The sequence below is a fragment of the Homo sapiens genome, chromosome 6 (genome assembly GCF_000001405.40).
Source record: "Homo sapiens chromosome 6, GRCh38.p14 Primary Assembly".
In the NCBI taxonomy this organism is placed as follows: Eukaryota; Metazoa; Chordata; class Mammalia; order Primates; family Hominidae; genus Homo; species Homo sapiens.
The window spans coordinates 148,145,371-148,159,701 of record NC_000006.12 but is presented as its reverse complement, the minus strand read 5'-3'; the positions used below and the strand labels follow the sequence as shown (position 1 = coordinate 148,159,701).

The 14,331-nt window shown below is 40.1% G+C and overlaps 1 annotated feature.

The window, feature by feature from the left end:
- Positions 12,072-13,271: an enhancer, noted in NCBI's record as "P300/CBP strongly-dependent group 1 enhancer chr6:148467567-148468766 (GRCh37/hg19 assembly coordinates)". NCBI's record gives its function as "activates an origin of replication core promoter dependent on BRD2, BRD4, P300/CBP, MED14 and CDK7 cofactors, with strong dependence on P300/CBP, by STARR-seq in HCT116 cells {active_cell/tissue: HCT116}" and the evidence as "EXISTENCE:reporter gene assay evidence [ECO:0000049][PMID:35650434]".

Sequence of the window (14,331 nt, the reverse complement as noted above, 5' to 3'; positions counted from 1 at the left end):
TGAAATTGGAAATCATCATTCTCAGTAAACTATCGCAAGGACAAAAAACCAAACACCGCATGTTCTCACTCATAGATGGGGATTGAACAATGAGAACACATGGACACAGGAAGGGGAACATCACACTCTGGGGACTGTTGTGGGGTTGGGGGAGGGGGGAGGGATAGCACTAGGAGATATACCTAATGCTAAATGACGAGTTAATGGGTGCAGCGCATGTACATATGTAACAAACCTGCACATTGTGCACATGTACCCTAAAACTTAAAGTATAATAATAATAAAAAATAAAAATAAAAAAATTAAAAAAAGACATGTTTGCTTCCCCTTCTGCCACAATTGTAAGTTTCCTGAGGCCTCCCCAGTCATGCTGAACCGTGAGTCAATTAAACCTTTCTCCTTTATAAACCACCCAGTCTTGAGTATGTCTTTATTAGCAATGTGAGAATGAACTAATATGAAAAGTAATTTTGGAAAAGTCAGAAGAGGAAAATGAATCTAGAATTAGTGAATTTTATTTTTTGCTTTTAGATTAGCCATCACATCTTTCTGAACTCAGCCCTTTTCTTAATTCTCATCTACTTGGGGCCTCCCTCTTTAGTGAGCTGTCTACGTGGACGTGTCTCAGACAGGCCCAAGCCTCAGTGTCTTGCTCTTTTTTGCATCCCTAGCATCTACTTTGCCAATGCCTGGCTCCAGAGGTGTCTCTGCATATGTTGCATAAATCAATAAATCACCCCTTTGCTTCTCCCAATCATAGTTTATATGTGCTCACAGATGCATATTTATAAAAAGTAACACTGTATAAACTCAACATATAGTAGGAAGGTGAGCTTGATGTTACATAATGAATACCAATGAAAACCAAATAATCATGATAGCAATACTTTTTGGATGATTCACATTGTCCCTTCTTCCTTTCTTCTGTCCCTCCCCTTCTGTCCTTCCTTCCTATGTATGTTGAGTATCTATTAAATGTAAGGTACTAAAATTACAGAATGTCAAAAGAAATCTTGGGGTAATCTAAGGTAACCCTGGTCTTATGGTGAAGTTCCTCTACCATATCCTTGACAAGAATCCTATCCCCTTGCCTGAGCAAGAGCAGTGAGGGAACCCATGATCCCTATAGGCCGTGCATTCTATGTACGGACCTGTGATTGTCAGGATGATTTTCCTTATTCTTTGGTGTAAATCTGAGCTCCTGTAACTTCTATCTTTTGGTCCTGCTTCTAACGTATAAATACAGAAAAATTCTAAGTTTCTACATAATGGTCCTTAAAATATCCGATGTCATGTATCATGTCCTTAATCTTCTCCTTTCTTAGACTAAACTTCAGTTTTTTTCATATTCTTTACATATCTGGACCTCTCTCCTGGACAACTGGGAGCTTAGGGCTCTGACACTGGCGGTGATGGGGGTTACCATATTCCAGAAACCTGAGCCAGACAGCGGGTGGGAGGTACCAGCTGTTCTCAGGCTGCACTTTGGGGACTACTCGATGAGGTGAGAGGCAATCAGAAGATTCACAGTCAGAAAACTGGACAGGCTGCTTTTTATTTTCTTTCTTTTTTTTTAGAGACAGGGTTTTGCTCTGTCGCCCAGGTTGAATTGCAGTGGCGCTATCATAGCTCACTGTAACCTCAGACTCCTGGCCTCAAGCCATCCTTGGTTCTCAGCCTCCCAAAGCACTGGAATGACAGGCAGGAGCCATCATGCCAGGCCCCAACCTGTATCAACAATTAATACCCACCTCCCTCATCTCTAGACCTGTGGCTTTGAAACTCAAGCTTGCATCAAAACCACCCAGAGGGAAATACAGATAGCTGGGCTCCACCGTCAGAATTTCTGATTCAGCAAGTCTGAGCTGAGGCCTGAGAATCTGCATTTATAACAAGTCCCCAGGCGATGTTGACTACTGCGCTAGATGTTGCAATGAGGGTGAGACTGCAAAAGATGAGAATAGAGGGCGCAAAATTAACATAGGATCAGGGCTGAGACTAGCGTGAGACAAGTTATGGGCCTGCCTGGGGCGCAAACTCTATGGAGTCTCTCACCCACTTGGCCATGCACGTGAGAGCCAGTGGCAACAACTCCTGTGCCCAGCAAGCTGCCAGCTGGAATAGTTTTCCACGCTGCAAGCTGCAGTGTGGCCAGGTGGTAGGTAGGATGTTGATCCTCAAAGCTTCAGCCCACATATGGACATATAAGAGAGTCCCTAGTTCCTTCACCATCCTGGTGACTGCTAGAAGTTGTTGCTACCCGTATGAAAGAGTTAAGTTGTCACAGTAAGGCTCTTCTGGTAATAAATGTCACAAACCACCTGCCAAATACTTCTGTGTAATTTTGGGCAGTGTTAAACAGCAGGGTTTTATTCTAACAAATATTTAAAATCTAAGAGTAGATTTTAAATATAATAAAGGTAGATTTTAAAATTCCATTCAAATCCTGCACATAGTAGAACTGAATTCCTTTTTTAAGAGGAAGTAAAATTACACAAAGTGCAGCAGTCTATAATAAGTAACGGGTGCGATCGGTGAACTATTATCATATCATTTCTATCCTCAAAGGCTTTCCTGTCTCCTAGGAGACAAGCATGTAAATAAGTGATTCTACATCACAGAGGGAAATAAGCAGAGGTCCAGAAACAGGGCTACCCACCAATCGCGTGGTGACAGAGGAGAGAGGGTCCTAAGGACAGATGAGGATGTTCTTGATTTTGTACTCCAAGTAAATGTATTTAAGAATGGTTACCCCAACCTCTGAGAAATCTGAAAGTGGCAGCTGGAAATGCCAGGTAAAGAGGGGTGGCAGGGAGACACAGAGCTGGCATTGCGGTCCACTAGCCCCAGGGGCCTGACCTTGTGCCTTCTTTTCCAGCTGCGGAGGCCCTCAGGAGGTCACTGCACCCCTAATAACCTCTCTCTTTAACATAAAAGAAATTTAGTCTCAAGTTTCTCAGGAACTTAATAGTATCATCCATCCATTCCACTCTCCAACTCCAGATAGAGCTTTAATAATCAAGACAAATACGTGTTAGTGATACTGGCTTTTTTGTTTGTTTGTTTTGTTCTGTTTTGTTTTGTTTTGGTGAGACGGAGTCTTGCTCTGTTGCCCAGGCTGAAGTGCAGTGGCACAATCTCGGCTCACTGCAGCCTCTGCCTCCCGGGTTCAAGCAATTCTTCTGCCTCAGCCTCCCGAGTAACTGGGATTACAGGTGTGCACCACCATGCTTGGCTAATTTTTGTATTTTTAGTAAAGACGAGGTTTTGCCTTGTTGACCAGGTTGGTCTTGAACTCCTGGCCTCAAGTGATCCGCCCACCTCGGCCTCCCAAAGTGCTGGGATTATAGGCATAAGCCACTGCGCCCGGCCATGATGGTGGCCTTTTTGAAGGCCCCCAGGAAAGAAGGATCACAGTGTCGCCTGTAAGCTGCTCATCAGCAGAGTGCGTCCACTGCCTCGCCTGACTGTTAGTCATTAGGTCCTACCTTTCTTTCTGGCCATTTCAGCCCACCACGTGTTATTACATGAGAGAAACGACAACCAGCTGGTTTTCTGGGAGTCTAAAATGTGCCCCTTCACGATGTGTTAGGTGCTGGGGATGTTGTATAACCCAGATTCTAGCAGATGAGGACAGAACCCGAAGTCCCTCCGTAGGGGAGGAAAGAACTTCCTGGCTCTTCACGTACTGTAAGTGCCCTGTTACAGAGGAGGACAGGGAGAAACTGAGACAGGGCCCTGACCTGCTCTGTTAAGTCTGTACCTCCTGTGGCAAGGAGGGCCTCTGTCACTGGGCAAGTAGACGGATAACTTGCTTACAAGGCAACATTAGAATCTAGACATGCTGTGCTTGGAATGAACTCTTTCCTATATTGATAACCTGGATCAATTTCCTTAGTTGGGAAGGAGGAGAGTGGGGTGTGACCTTATACGTGGTAACTCTCCCAGGGCAGACTCCAGTTTATTCATCTATAAAGTAAGTAACGTAGATAAAATATGTGTAAGGTCCCGTCTAGCTCTTCAGTTGTCTAAGTTCCGCTGGTTTTGCAGTGCTAAATGTAAAAGCTATCCTAGTTGTATTTTATTTAATTCATTAAGCAGCTCTGATTTCATTTTGTCTCTGTACAAGACAAATGGATGCTTTACATTCACAGCTCTGCTGTAGCCCCTTCTGCTAAAGGGTGTTCTGTCCACCTGATTTTGCATTCCAGGCTTGTCCCTCAACCTGAGCCTGTCCCTGCATGTCACAGGCTAATTTGTTCTAATTCCATTGAGTTCACAGCCCCGTGGATGCGTTTTCCTATTGGCAAGCTCAGGGCTGATTAATGGGCAGTTACAGCAGGGGACATGGCGGGTAGAGAGGGTCGGCAGAAGGGGATGGATGGATGTTACCTGGAGTATTTCACTAGATTCAAATGAGAAAGTATTAACCTCTTTACAGGAGAACACATGGCAACACTGAATTGACAGAGTTCAAACACCAAAGGGGCATTTGAGAACTGGAGCTGCCCGATGGCAAGAGGGCACTTGTATCAGAAGCTTCACTGCACAGGCCTACAATAAATGGTGCCTTGACATCAAATGAGTTGGTTGGCTAGTTCCTTCCCCATGAAATTGTTATTTTAAACCCCAAACTACCTGGCATAATTTCCAGTCTGCTGACTGAAAATCAGAATGGAGCATAACTATTTTCCTTGCAGAAAAAGGCTGCCCAGGGATGTACTGGAGATGATCAGGAGAGACATGCTTTTCTCCTTCAAACCTTTTGCCTGCTTTGTATTTCCAGTTTTCACAGCCCACCTTTTTCAGAGACCACACACAGAGACTACACTGATTGGAATCAAGTTTAAAGGCATGGCTTACATTCAGGTGAGTGAAAGAAAGACTGCCTTCAAGCTAAGGAGACCCTGCTGTGCAGTCCCCATTCTCCAAAACTTTATCTCTGAATCACCTTTTCTTGAACAGGGTCTAGTTTATTTTAATTTGTCCTTCAGAATAAGAAGTTTTTTTGACTGAAGATTCACTTGGATGAACTTTAACAGAGGCTGAATCAAACCCAAGTGTATGCTGTACTCTTGGGCTTCAGTTCACAATCTAGATATATACTGCAGTTAAGACAAGAAGGAAGAAAAGAAAAAGGGACATGTTAGTAGCAATTCAGTGACTCTTCTAGGCTTCACCATGGTCATCCCCATTTAGATACCAGTAAGTGGATCTCCTAGTCCAGAACTGCCAAAGTGATTTGTGCCCGAATGCAGAAGAATTGCATCCAATACTAATTGAGACAAATATGAAATTTGCAGCTACCATTTATTGAACATTATTATTGAGTATATTACCATGCATATTGCTGGTCACTTTACCAATATTATCTCATTTAATCCTCAGACCAGTTCTCTGAGGGAGCTATAATCCTCCCCATTTTCCAGGTAATCAAACAGAATCTGAGAAGGTTAAATGACTTTATTAAGGTCACATAAGTAGAAGGTAGTACAAGTGGAACAGAACCCAGCTCCATCTGACTCCAAAACTTGTGATCTTTCAATTCCCTCCCATGAACCTTGAGAACAGAGAATAGTTATTTCATTGTCAATTTCACCTTCCAGTATGGTTGGTATTTCACATTCAATTCTGATTGTAGCTATGCAGGGGCAAAATATACGGGTTCCTCCTCTTTATGAATAGAAAACCGGTCTAAGATTATTTTTGAACATTTGCCTTTAGTACCTTTTAAACACATGCATCAGTTTAATGTCAAAGCAGAAGCTTTATGTATTGGGCCATTGGCACCAATATGTTTAGATTATATGCAGGTCTGAGTCTGTTTTACTAGAACAGGGCCTCATTCTCTCAAATATATCCATCAACCATCCATCAGTGTAATGTACATCACTCATGGAAAGAACATGTTTCCATCAGACCTTTTTTTCACTCCATTTCTATTACTACATATGGCAATTACAATTTTAGGAATCAGAAGGCTATAAAGTGGATAATCTAAGAATGATTAATTTTATTCTGTTAGAAAGTTGTCATTTCTGCTCTTATGAATGGATAATAATAACCTCACCATTCCCCTCCTCCTTCTTTAGGATATAGGCTAAATATTGGTTTGCTAGGGCTCCCCTAACAAAATACCATAAATTGGGTGGCTTAAATAACAGACAGCTATTGTCTCAAGTCTGAAATGGAGGTGTTGGCAAGGCAGATTTCTGCTGAGGGATGTGAGGGATAATCTGTTCCATGCTTCTCTCCTAAGCTCCCTGTGGTTGGCTCGCAACCTTTGGCATCTCTTGGCTGGTGTATGCATTACCCCATCTCTGCCTGTGCTCACAGGCATTTTCCCTGCCTTCCTGGCTGTGTCCAAATTTCCCCTTTTTATAATGACACCAGCTATATTGGATTAGATGCCCATCCTACTTCCTCATATGACCTCACCTTAAGTAACTGCATCTGCAACAACCTATTTCCTAGTAAGATTACATGCTAAGTACCGGGGGCTACTTCAAAATGGGCATTTGGGGAAGGGGATGCAGTTCATCCCAGATCAGGCTAGGCCCTTTTAAAATTCAGTGCATAATGGCGATCAATAGAAACCTTTATTAATAGCCCAGGATTTAACTAAACAAACCCCTTTGCCTTCATGCACTCCAAGTGCTTTTTCTCGTCCCAACATCATTCTCTCCATGATGAGTTCAGGGCCCCCAAAGGTCCTCTAAAGCATGCTGGCAAAGCATCTGTAGGAGATGAAAGGCTAGGTACACATGTAAATGCCACCTCTCTTCTTGTCACTGTGGAGGAGACTCTAATGTCGAGGAATTGATACTCAACTCTCCACAGTAGCACCTCTTTCATTACTAAGTCCCTAGAACTTCATTGAGCTGGTCCACCCTTTCCCCCCAGCCTCCCCATGAAAAGCAGAGTAAGGTATTGTCCTATATATGTCTTAAAGCTGAAAATGCACAAAGCGTGAATACTCTAAAACCCGGAGTACATTCATCTGGAAAATCTGTCCTTAACAGCTGTGGGATGTGGACAAAGAGTTTAGCATATTTGAGGATCCAGGTTATTCCAAATGACCTAATGAGAGGGCACTGGAGATTTAGGTTTGGGTGGTGGATAACTCTTCAGCTCTAAACCTATGCCTCCAACTGCCTACCTGTCTCTCCATTCACATGCCTTGATCAAACTGGAAGTCATGGATTGTCCCTTGTCTCTGCCAAACACCTTGTGGTATTCCTTCTGCACAGCACCTGTCGCTTCCAAAGGTCAGTGAGTCATGTCCCCATCCGCGTAGTTACTCAAGCTGGTAACTATTGTCATTTACTCTAGCCATTCCCTTACATCTAACAACAACTCTCACCATGCCCTGTTCTATTTCCCTTTTAATGTCTTCTGACCTGTTTTTACGTCTCTCCATTCTCTTGACTCCTGCGTAAGCTCAGACCTCAGCATCTCTCCCATGGAGAATGCAGCAGCCTCCAAACTGGGCTTCCTATACACAGTGCCCTCCCCAGGCCCTGCTTATCTCTGCTTTTACATCATCAAATACAGGACAAGAGTGCCATTGCCTTTTGACTGCAAATCCTCTGTGTCTACTTCTGTCTTCAGTATAAAGTTCAAACATCTCAGCGGGGCAGAAAAGGCCCACCCCTGTCTGGCCATAACTTCCTTTCTAACCTGATCTCCTTTGTGTGATCCTTTGTTAGGAAACAGATCATGCACTTTCATACCTCCATGGAGCTTCCCCTGCCTGGAATTCCTTTCCCTTTCTCTCCTATAAAATGCCAATTTATGTCTTCAGACCAAGTGGAAACTACTACTTACTGGAAAGACTTTCCTAATGATCCCTGGGCATAATTATTTCCATTCTCTCTGTGCAGTTTCTTATGTATCCTTTATTCTTGCTCATAATAGAATTAAAGTGTAATTCTTTATCAGCCTTCCCTCCTAGGTTGTTTATTCCTTTGGGGCAGGGATTTTTTCTTATTGATTTTTCAATTCTTAGACCTTGTCTGAAATATGGTAGGTACTTAATACATTCTTAATGAATGAATGAAGTTAAGCTCATCATTTCTTTCACATTAGGAGATTTTTCTCCCCTTTGTTTTCAGAATGCTATTCTAGGTGAGGAATAAGGTGGGGGAAACCTGTCCTTATTAAATATCAAGTCTTATACAAGTATATAAAGGTGATACAGAAATTGTCAATTAGAACGATGAAATAGAATAGATATCCCAGAAATAGACACAACTACAAACTTGAGTTATGACATTTTTGCCACTGAAACCAGTAGAGGAAAAATGGACTTTTCAGTAAACGGTGCAGGGGCAGCTGGTTATCCGTATGAGAAAAGGATGAAATTGGATGCTTATCTCTCACCATATACAATATTTAATTGCAGGTGAATTAAAGAATCACAACTATTAGTATGAGACTTTTAAAAGACCATACAGGAAAACATCTTTATGATCAGAAGATCAAGAGAGATTTGTTAAACAGGAAGTGAAAGGCAAAAAACCTAAAGGAAAAAAATGCTATATTAAAATTAAGAAAGTCTGTTCATGGAATGACAGAATAAAGAAAGGAAAAAGACAAACCATAAATTTGAGAAATATATTTATAACACATTCAACTAGAATTTTAACTGGAATTCTATTTAGCACACCACTTTCAAAGATGAGCAGACAGAAAAAGATATTTAGGCTTTGAGGAAAGCATTATGTGTGAAAGACAATGATCAACACAACAAAAAGAAAAATGAAACAACTTAGAACATGCAGAGAATATGCTAGAAAAAAACTTAAAAAATATAATATCTTTAGAAGCATGTAGAGCTGCATCTGTTAAATAAAAACAGGATGCTATAACAAACAAATACTCCAAGAAAAGAAGGAGCTCTTGGAAAAAGTAAAGGCTTTTATGGCACAAATGAAAAGCTCAGTTGAAGGATAAGAAGATTAAGTTGAAAAAGTCTCCCAGAAAATAGAAAAAAAATGACAAAGGGATGGAAATTAGGAAAGAAAAATACTAAGAAAATGCAGGAATTATACTAGGAGGCCCAACGTAAGCAGATCAGAGAAACCAAACCGAAGAAAAATATTTATGAAATAGTGGAAGGAAAATTCTTCAGAACTGAACAACATGATTTTCCAGGTTGAAAGGCTCACCAAATACCCAGTGGTATGGGTGAAAATAGCCCCTTTTTGAATGGCACATTGTCAGAAATTTCAGATCATCTGCAACAAAGATCTACAAACTTACAGAGAAGAAAATACAATTTCATACAGAGAATCAAAACACAGAAATATTGGACTTTTCAATAGCAAGACTGGAAGTAGATGTTTTCTAAATTCCCAAGGGAAAGAATTTTCGACCTACAATCCTACAACCAGCCAATAAAGTCACATTTAGACATTCACATATCAAAAATTTAATCATCTATCATCCTTTCCTACAAAGCTACTGGCACATGTGTTTCAGAAAGACGAGGTTGTAAAACAAGAGAAAGAAAAACCTGGAACCCAGGAAACAGGATATCCAATGCAGCAAAAACACAAAGGGAGTCCCTAGAGTGACTGTGAAGGGAGATTTTAATGACAGCTGTTGACCATTGATAGGGTTTGGCTGTGTCACCATGCAAATCTCATCTTGAATTGTAGCTCCCATAATTTCCATGTGTTTTGAACGGGACCCCATGGGAGGCAACTGAATCATGGGAGCAGTTTCCCCCATACTGTTCTCGTGGTAGTAAATTGGTCTCACAAGAGCTGGTGGTTTTATAAAGGGAAACCCCTTTCACTTAGCTCTCATTCTCTCTTGACTGCCGCCATGTAAGACGTACCTTTCACCTTCTGTCATGATTGTGAGGCCTCCCCAGCCACGTGGAACTGTGAGCCTATTAAGCCTCTTTTCCTTTATAGATGACCCAGTTTTGGGTGTGTCTTTATTAGCAGCAAGAAAACAGACTAATACAGCCATCCCGATTGGAACAGGTCAGAAGATTTCTTCAACATGGTAAAGATAATAGACTACTTAATAGGCTTGAACATTGTGAAAGGAGATTTACACAATTGGGGGACATTTGGGAATTAAATTCATGATGGTCATATAGAAAAATAAATGAATCAAACAAAAGTTAATTGTTAATTTTAGGGAAAGCCCAACATTGCACAGAAAAAAAAGTAATTGTAGTATCATGTTGTACCACATGGCTAGGCTGTGAATAGTGTTCATATGGTCATAATTATGTAAACTCCAGCTAATGATCTACCCAAAATATGATCTAACCCTGCTGAGAGGAGGGGGAAGGTGGGAAATGTATGAAGAGTGAAATTCTCATATTCCAAAGACAGAAGAAAATAGGTATTTTCTAAATCTGAAAAAAACCAATTAGTAACAAAATAGGCATACAATGTAAAGATATTTAGGTAAGCATTTTAAAAAATCCGTTGAGAAAGTTGAATGCAATTGCCTCCAGGGAGCAGAAAATTGTGGTGAGTGTTGGGTAGAAACTGATGTTTTTTATGTCAAGACGGGATGCTATTAGCTACTTTATGTGTTTGTGAAACTTGGATAAAATAACAACTAAGTTAAAAAATAAGTAACAAAAGAATATACACAGTATTACATATTTTATAAAGTATAAAGCCAAACAGTATATTGTTTAGCGACACATACATAGGTGCATGGGAAACCATAAAGGTAATGAAAAAATGAATGACAAAGTGGATGGAAATTTTTTTAAAAACATACAAACCAACAACAACAGGATATAGCAATTAGCTGGGGCAGAGGGATAAGAATGGAGAGGGAACTCTCAGAAAATCGCAACAGTGTGGGTAATGTTCTGCTTCTTAAGTGGAGTAATGGGTTCATTTTTTTTTTATAATTCTGCTTTGTAATTTGAGCATATATAAATTTATATATACTATATATAAAATGTATATGTATCGAACATTTTATGAAAACAAAAGATGTTGTCTTTATAAAATGCATTAATGAAAACCTATAGAATATTGATCGTCTTTTAATCTATAGCTTGATTTCAACTTTTAGCAGTAAATTTAGAAAGTTCACAGAGATGATCATTATGTGTAATGAGCATCAGGACTTATTATAGGTCAATTGACATCAAGAACTTAATGATATGGGGATTTTCCATATTGCAGTTAAAACTATTTAACAAAAAAAGAATTCTCAACTTTTCTTCCTTTGAACTACTAGAGAATTATTGATGTTTATGGTCTTCGTCTTTATTTGGGTTCTACTTGAGATTAATTGTGGCCTGCCCCACACTTTACCTAACTGCTTTTTATGTTAACCTAAGCTACCCCAATACCCATTAGCACTGAGTGCCATTAGCAGTGATATTACCTCCTTGACTACTCATGCTGAACTCACGTGTAATAACAATGAGGTAGGCTATTAGGAAGAATTCGTCTTACACAGCACGACTGAAAAACACTTCTAAGTCTTCCCCAAGTGATATAAAATGCACCAAAAGTTATAACAAGAGAACATCCAATCTCCATAAATGGCTCTATTTGTCAGTAGCTTTATTTTCAATACCAATTGTTGGAAAGTAATGTACTTCTATCCACGTTTCAAACTGTACTTACTGGTAACTAATTTGCACAGCCTGAGAGATATTTATTTGGGATGACATTGAACTGAGCTTTCAATATTTCTGATCTCCATCTTCTCTTTGGATAGGCCATCTCTGACAGAGCAAGAGTCAAAAAATATGTATTTGAAATCTGCTGATTGTCATTTGGTTGCAGTGCTTTATTTGGAAAAACTACTTCCAGGAACTGTGTTGGGATGCCAAAGCTGACTAGACTGCACCTTTGCCTTTAACATTACAGATTTTAAAAAAAGTTAAAAAAACAAAAAACCCTCATTTTTTTCAAGCAATATCCCATATACTTACAGTCCAACTGATATTTATTGACTATCTCTGACATGAATAGCTCTAATAAGTTATTTTCCTATTCGATGACACAAAGGGATGAAACAACCAAAACAGCTGTCAGATTAAGAATGCTGTTGTCACCATCAATTAAATCCCTTTGCTAGATAGCTCTGACCACGCACCTGTTTCCTTTCCTTTTCCTTTTTTTTTTTTAAATGGAGAGCTACTCTCCCCCCCTTCCCCTTCTCCTTGTATTGAAAGAAAGGCAGGAGGGGAAAGGGACGATAATTTAGCTGAAGGTCAACTAGGGCACCTGCTAATGGCTCCCTCTCCTCCCATCACTGATTGCCTGAAAATAGGAAATCAGCCCAAATCTATTGTTGTGATCAGGGAGCAAAAGCTGTAATGCTGGTGAGTGAGCACGTGCTTCTTCCTGCCTCTTTTTCCTTCGAAGAAAAATGATTACTACATTTAACTGACACACTGTAGAGCAAATCCCTTCTTTAGAGCTCATCAGTCTGAAGGGTGATGGGGATGCGGCCCAGAAGAACTGGTCTCCCCTGATGAAAACACCTGCTGCCAGAGCCGCCCACCGCCTCTTTCCTCTCGCTTCCCTCACGTTTCCATGGTTCAAGGTGATCCTTAAAACCATGGATGAAGTGTGAGGCTTGCAATGTGTCAGCACCTAAAAGTGGGTACGCTAGGGTATCCTGGATTTTCCTGTGTTTGGGAGAATAATCAGCGATGACTCAGTTCTAAGAGCAGGCCAGACCCATGATGGGGAGAGAAAAAGCAACTGTGAGAAGCTGATGGTGTCCCAGCCTGCATCCAGTCTGACCCTTGTCTGTCCTTCCAGACAGGATATGAGCAAAGTTACCTAGCAGCACCAGCGGGAACTGAGCCAATGAAAACCCCCTGCCCTGCTGCATTCTAATTTCACAGGTGCCCCCGCCTTCCGGGCACAACAGGAAATGAGTCAAGGCAATGATGATAATGAGAGGAAGAAAAAAAGTGCTTCCTCTGTACAAAATGCTTACACACAGGTAATCTCATCTTTTAATTGACTTCTTCCTCAATGCAAAGCAGGTTATTGTCCTTATCTTTAAGAATGAAGACATAGATTTTCTGAGAGAGGTGAAGGTGATGTATGAGGTCACATGAAGGTCACAGCTAGGAGCTGACTCAGCTCATGACACCTCTCGGAAGACGGGGAAATTTCCAACTGAACTTTTTGTAGTTAATACTTGAAAACTTTTGCCTCTCATGAGACTAGGTTTTTTTGAATATTATTTTAAAATGTTTTATTTCCTGACAGTATACAATCTTTATGGTAGGTAATATATTCTTAGAGATGCCAAGAAAAAAAAATTATTATCACCATCTACAAACCACTGTGAATTTTTGTGCTTCCATGGGATACTAAGAGTCAAAGACTTTTTATATTTTTAAATCTATCATTTACCTTTTAGCAAGTATCTGGTTAGTAACTTGGCATAATGTTTTACTCTCTTCATTTTTTTTTTTTAAGAGACAGTCTTGCTCTCTCACTCTGATGGGAGTTCAGTGGCACTATCATAGCTCACTGCAGCCTCGAACTCCTGGGCTCAAGCAATTCCTCCTACTTCAGCCTCCTGAGTGGCGGGGACTACAGTAGTGCGCCACCAGGCTAATTGTTTTATTTTTTGGAGATACAGCATCTCTCTATGTTGCCCAGGCTGGTCTCGAACTCCTGGCCTCAAGCAATCCTCCTGCCTCAGCCTACCAAAGTGTTGGGATTACAGGTGTGAACCACCGTACCCAATCTCTTTTTCATTTATTAAATGAAATTAATCAAATTTACCTGATTTGAAAATTTGAAAACAATAAACTGCTAAGCATACCTGTATTTTGGCTTTAGTTTAAAAAGTGAAAGATGGCAAATGTTTCTTCAATTAAAAATGCAGTCACAATATAAGCATAAAATAACTCATATAACATATTAGGACTACCCAGGAAACAACATATGCAATAAAAAAAATAGTGACAAATATAGAAATACTGAATTTGTAAGGTCATTCAACTTTTTGTACTCCAGCAGCAACAGATTATGAACTGGTTTTATTAAGCACTGTAGCCCCAATAATTAATTTAAAGGTTGCAGCTAGCACAGTGTCTGGCCCAAATAAAGTATTGAGTTAATATATGTTCCCTGATTAGCTTGCTTCAACTGCTTCACAAAGTTTACTTACATTGAAAAATCATGTTGTACCTAATAAATACATCGAATTTTTATGTCAACTATACCTTTTAAAGTATTATACATATATAGTCTCTAAATAATAACTAAATGAGCTGGTGTTATAATGAATCTGTTTCATGATTTTGAATTATTTTACAATAACGGTAACGGAATTCTTAAAGTCTTTAGCAAAATAAAC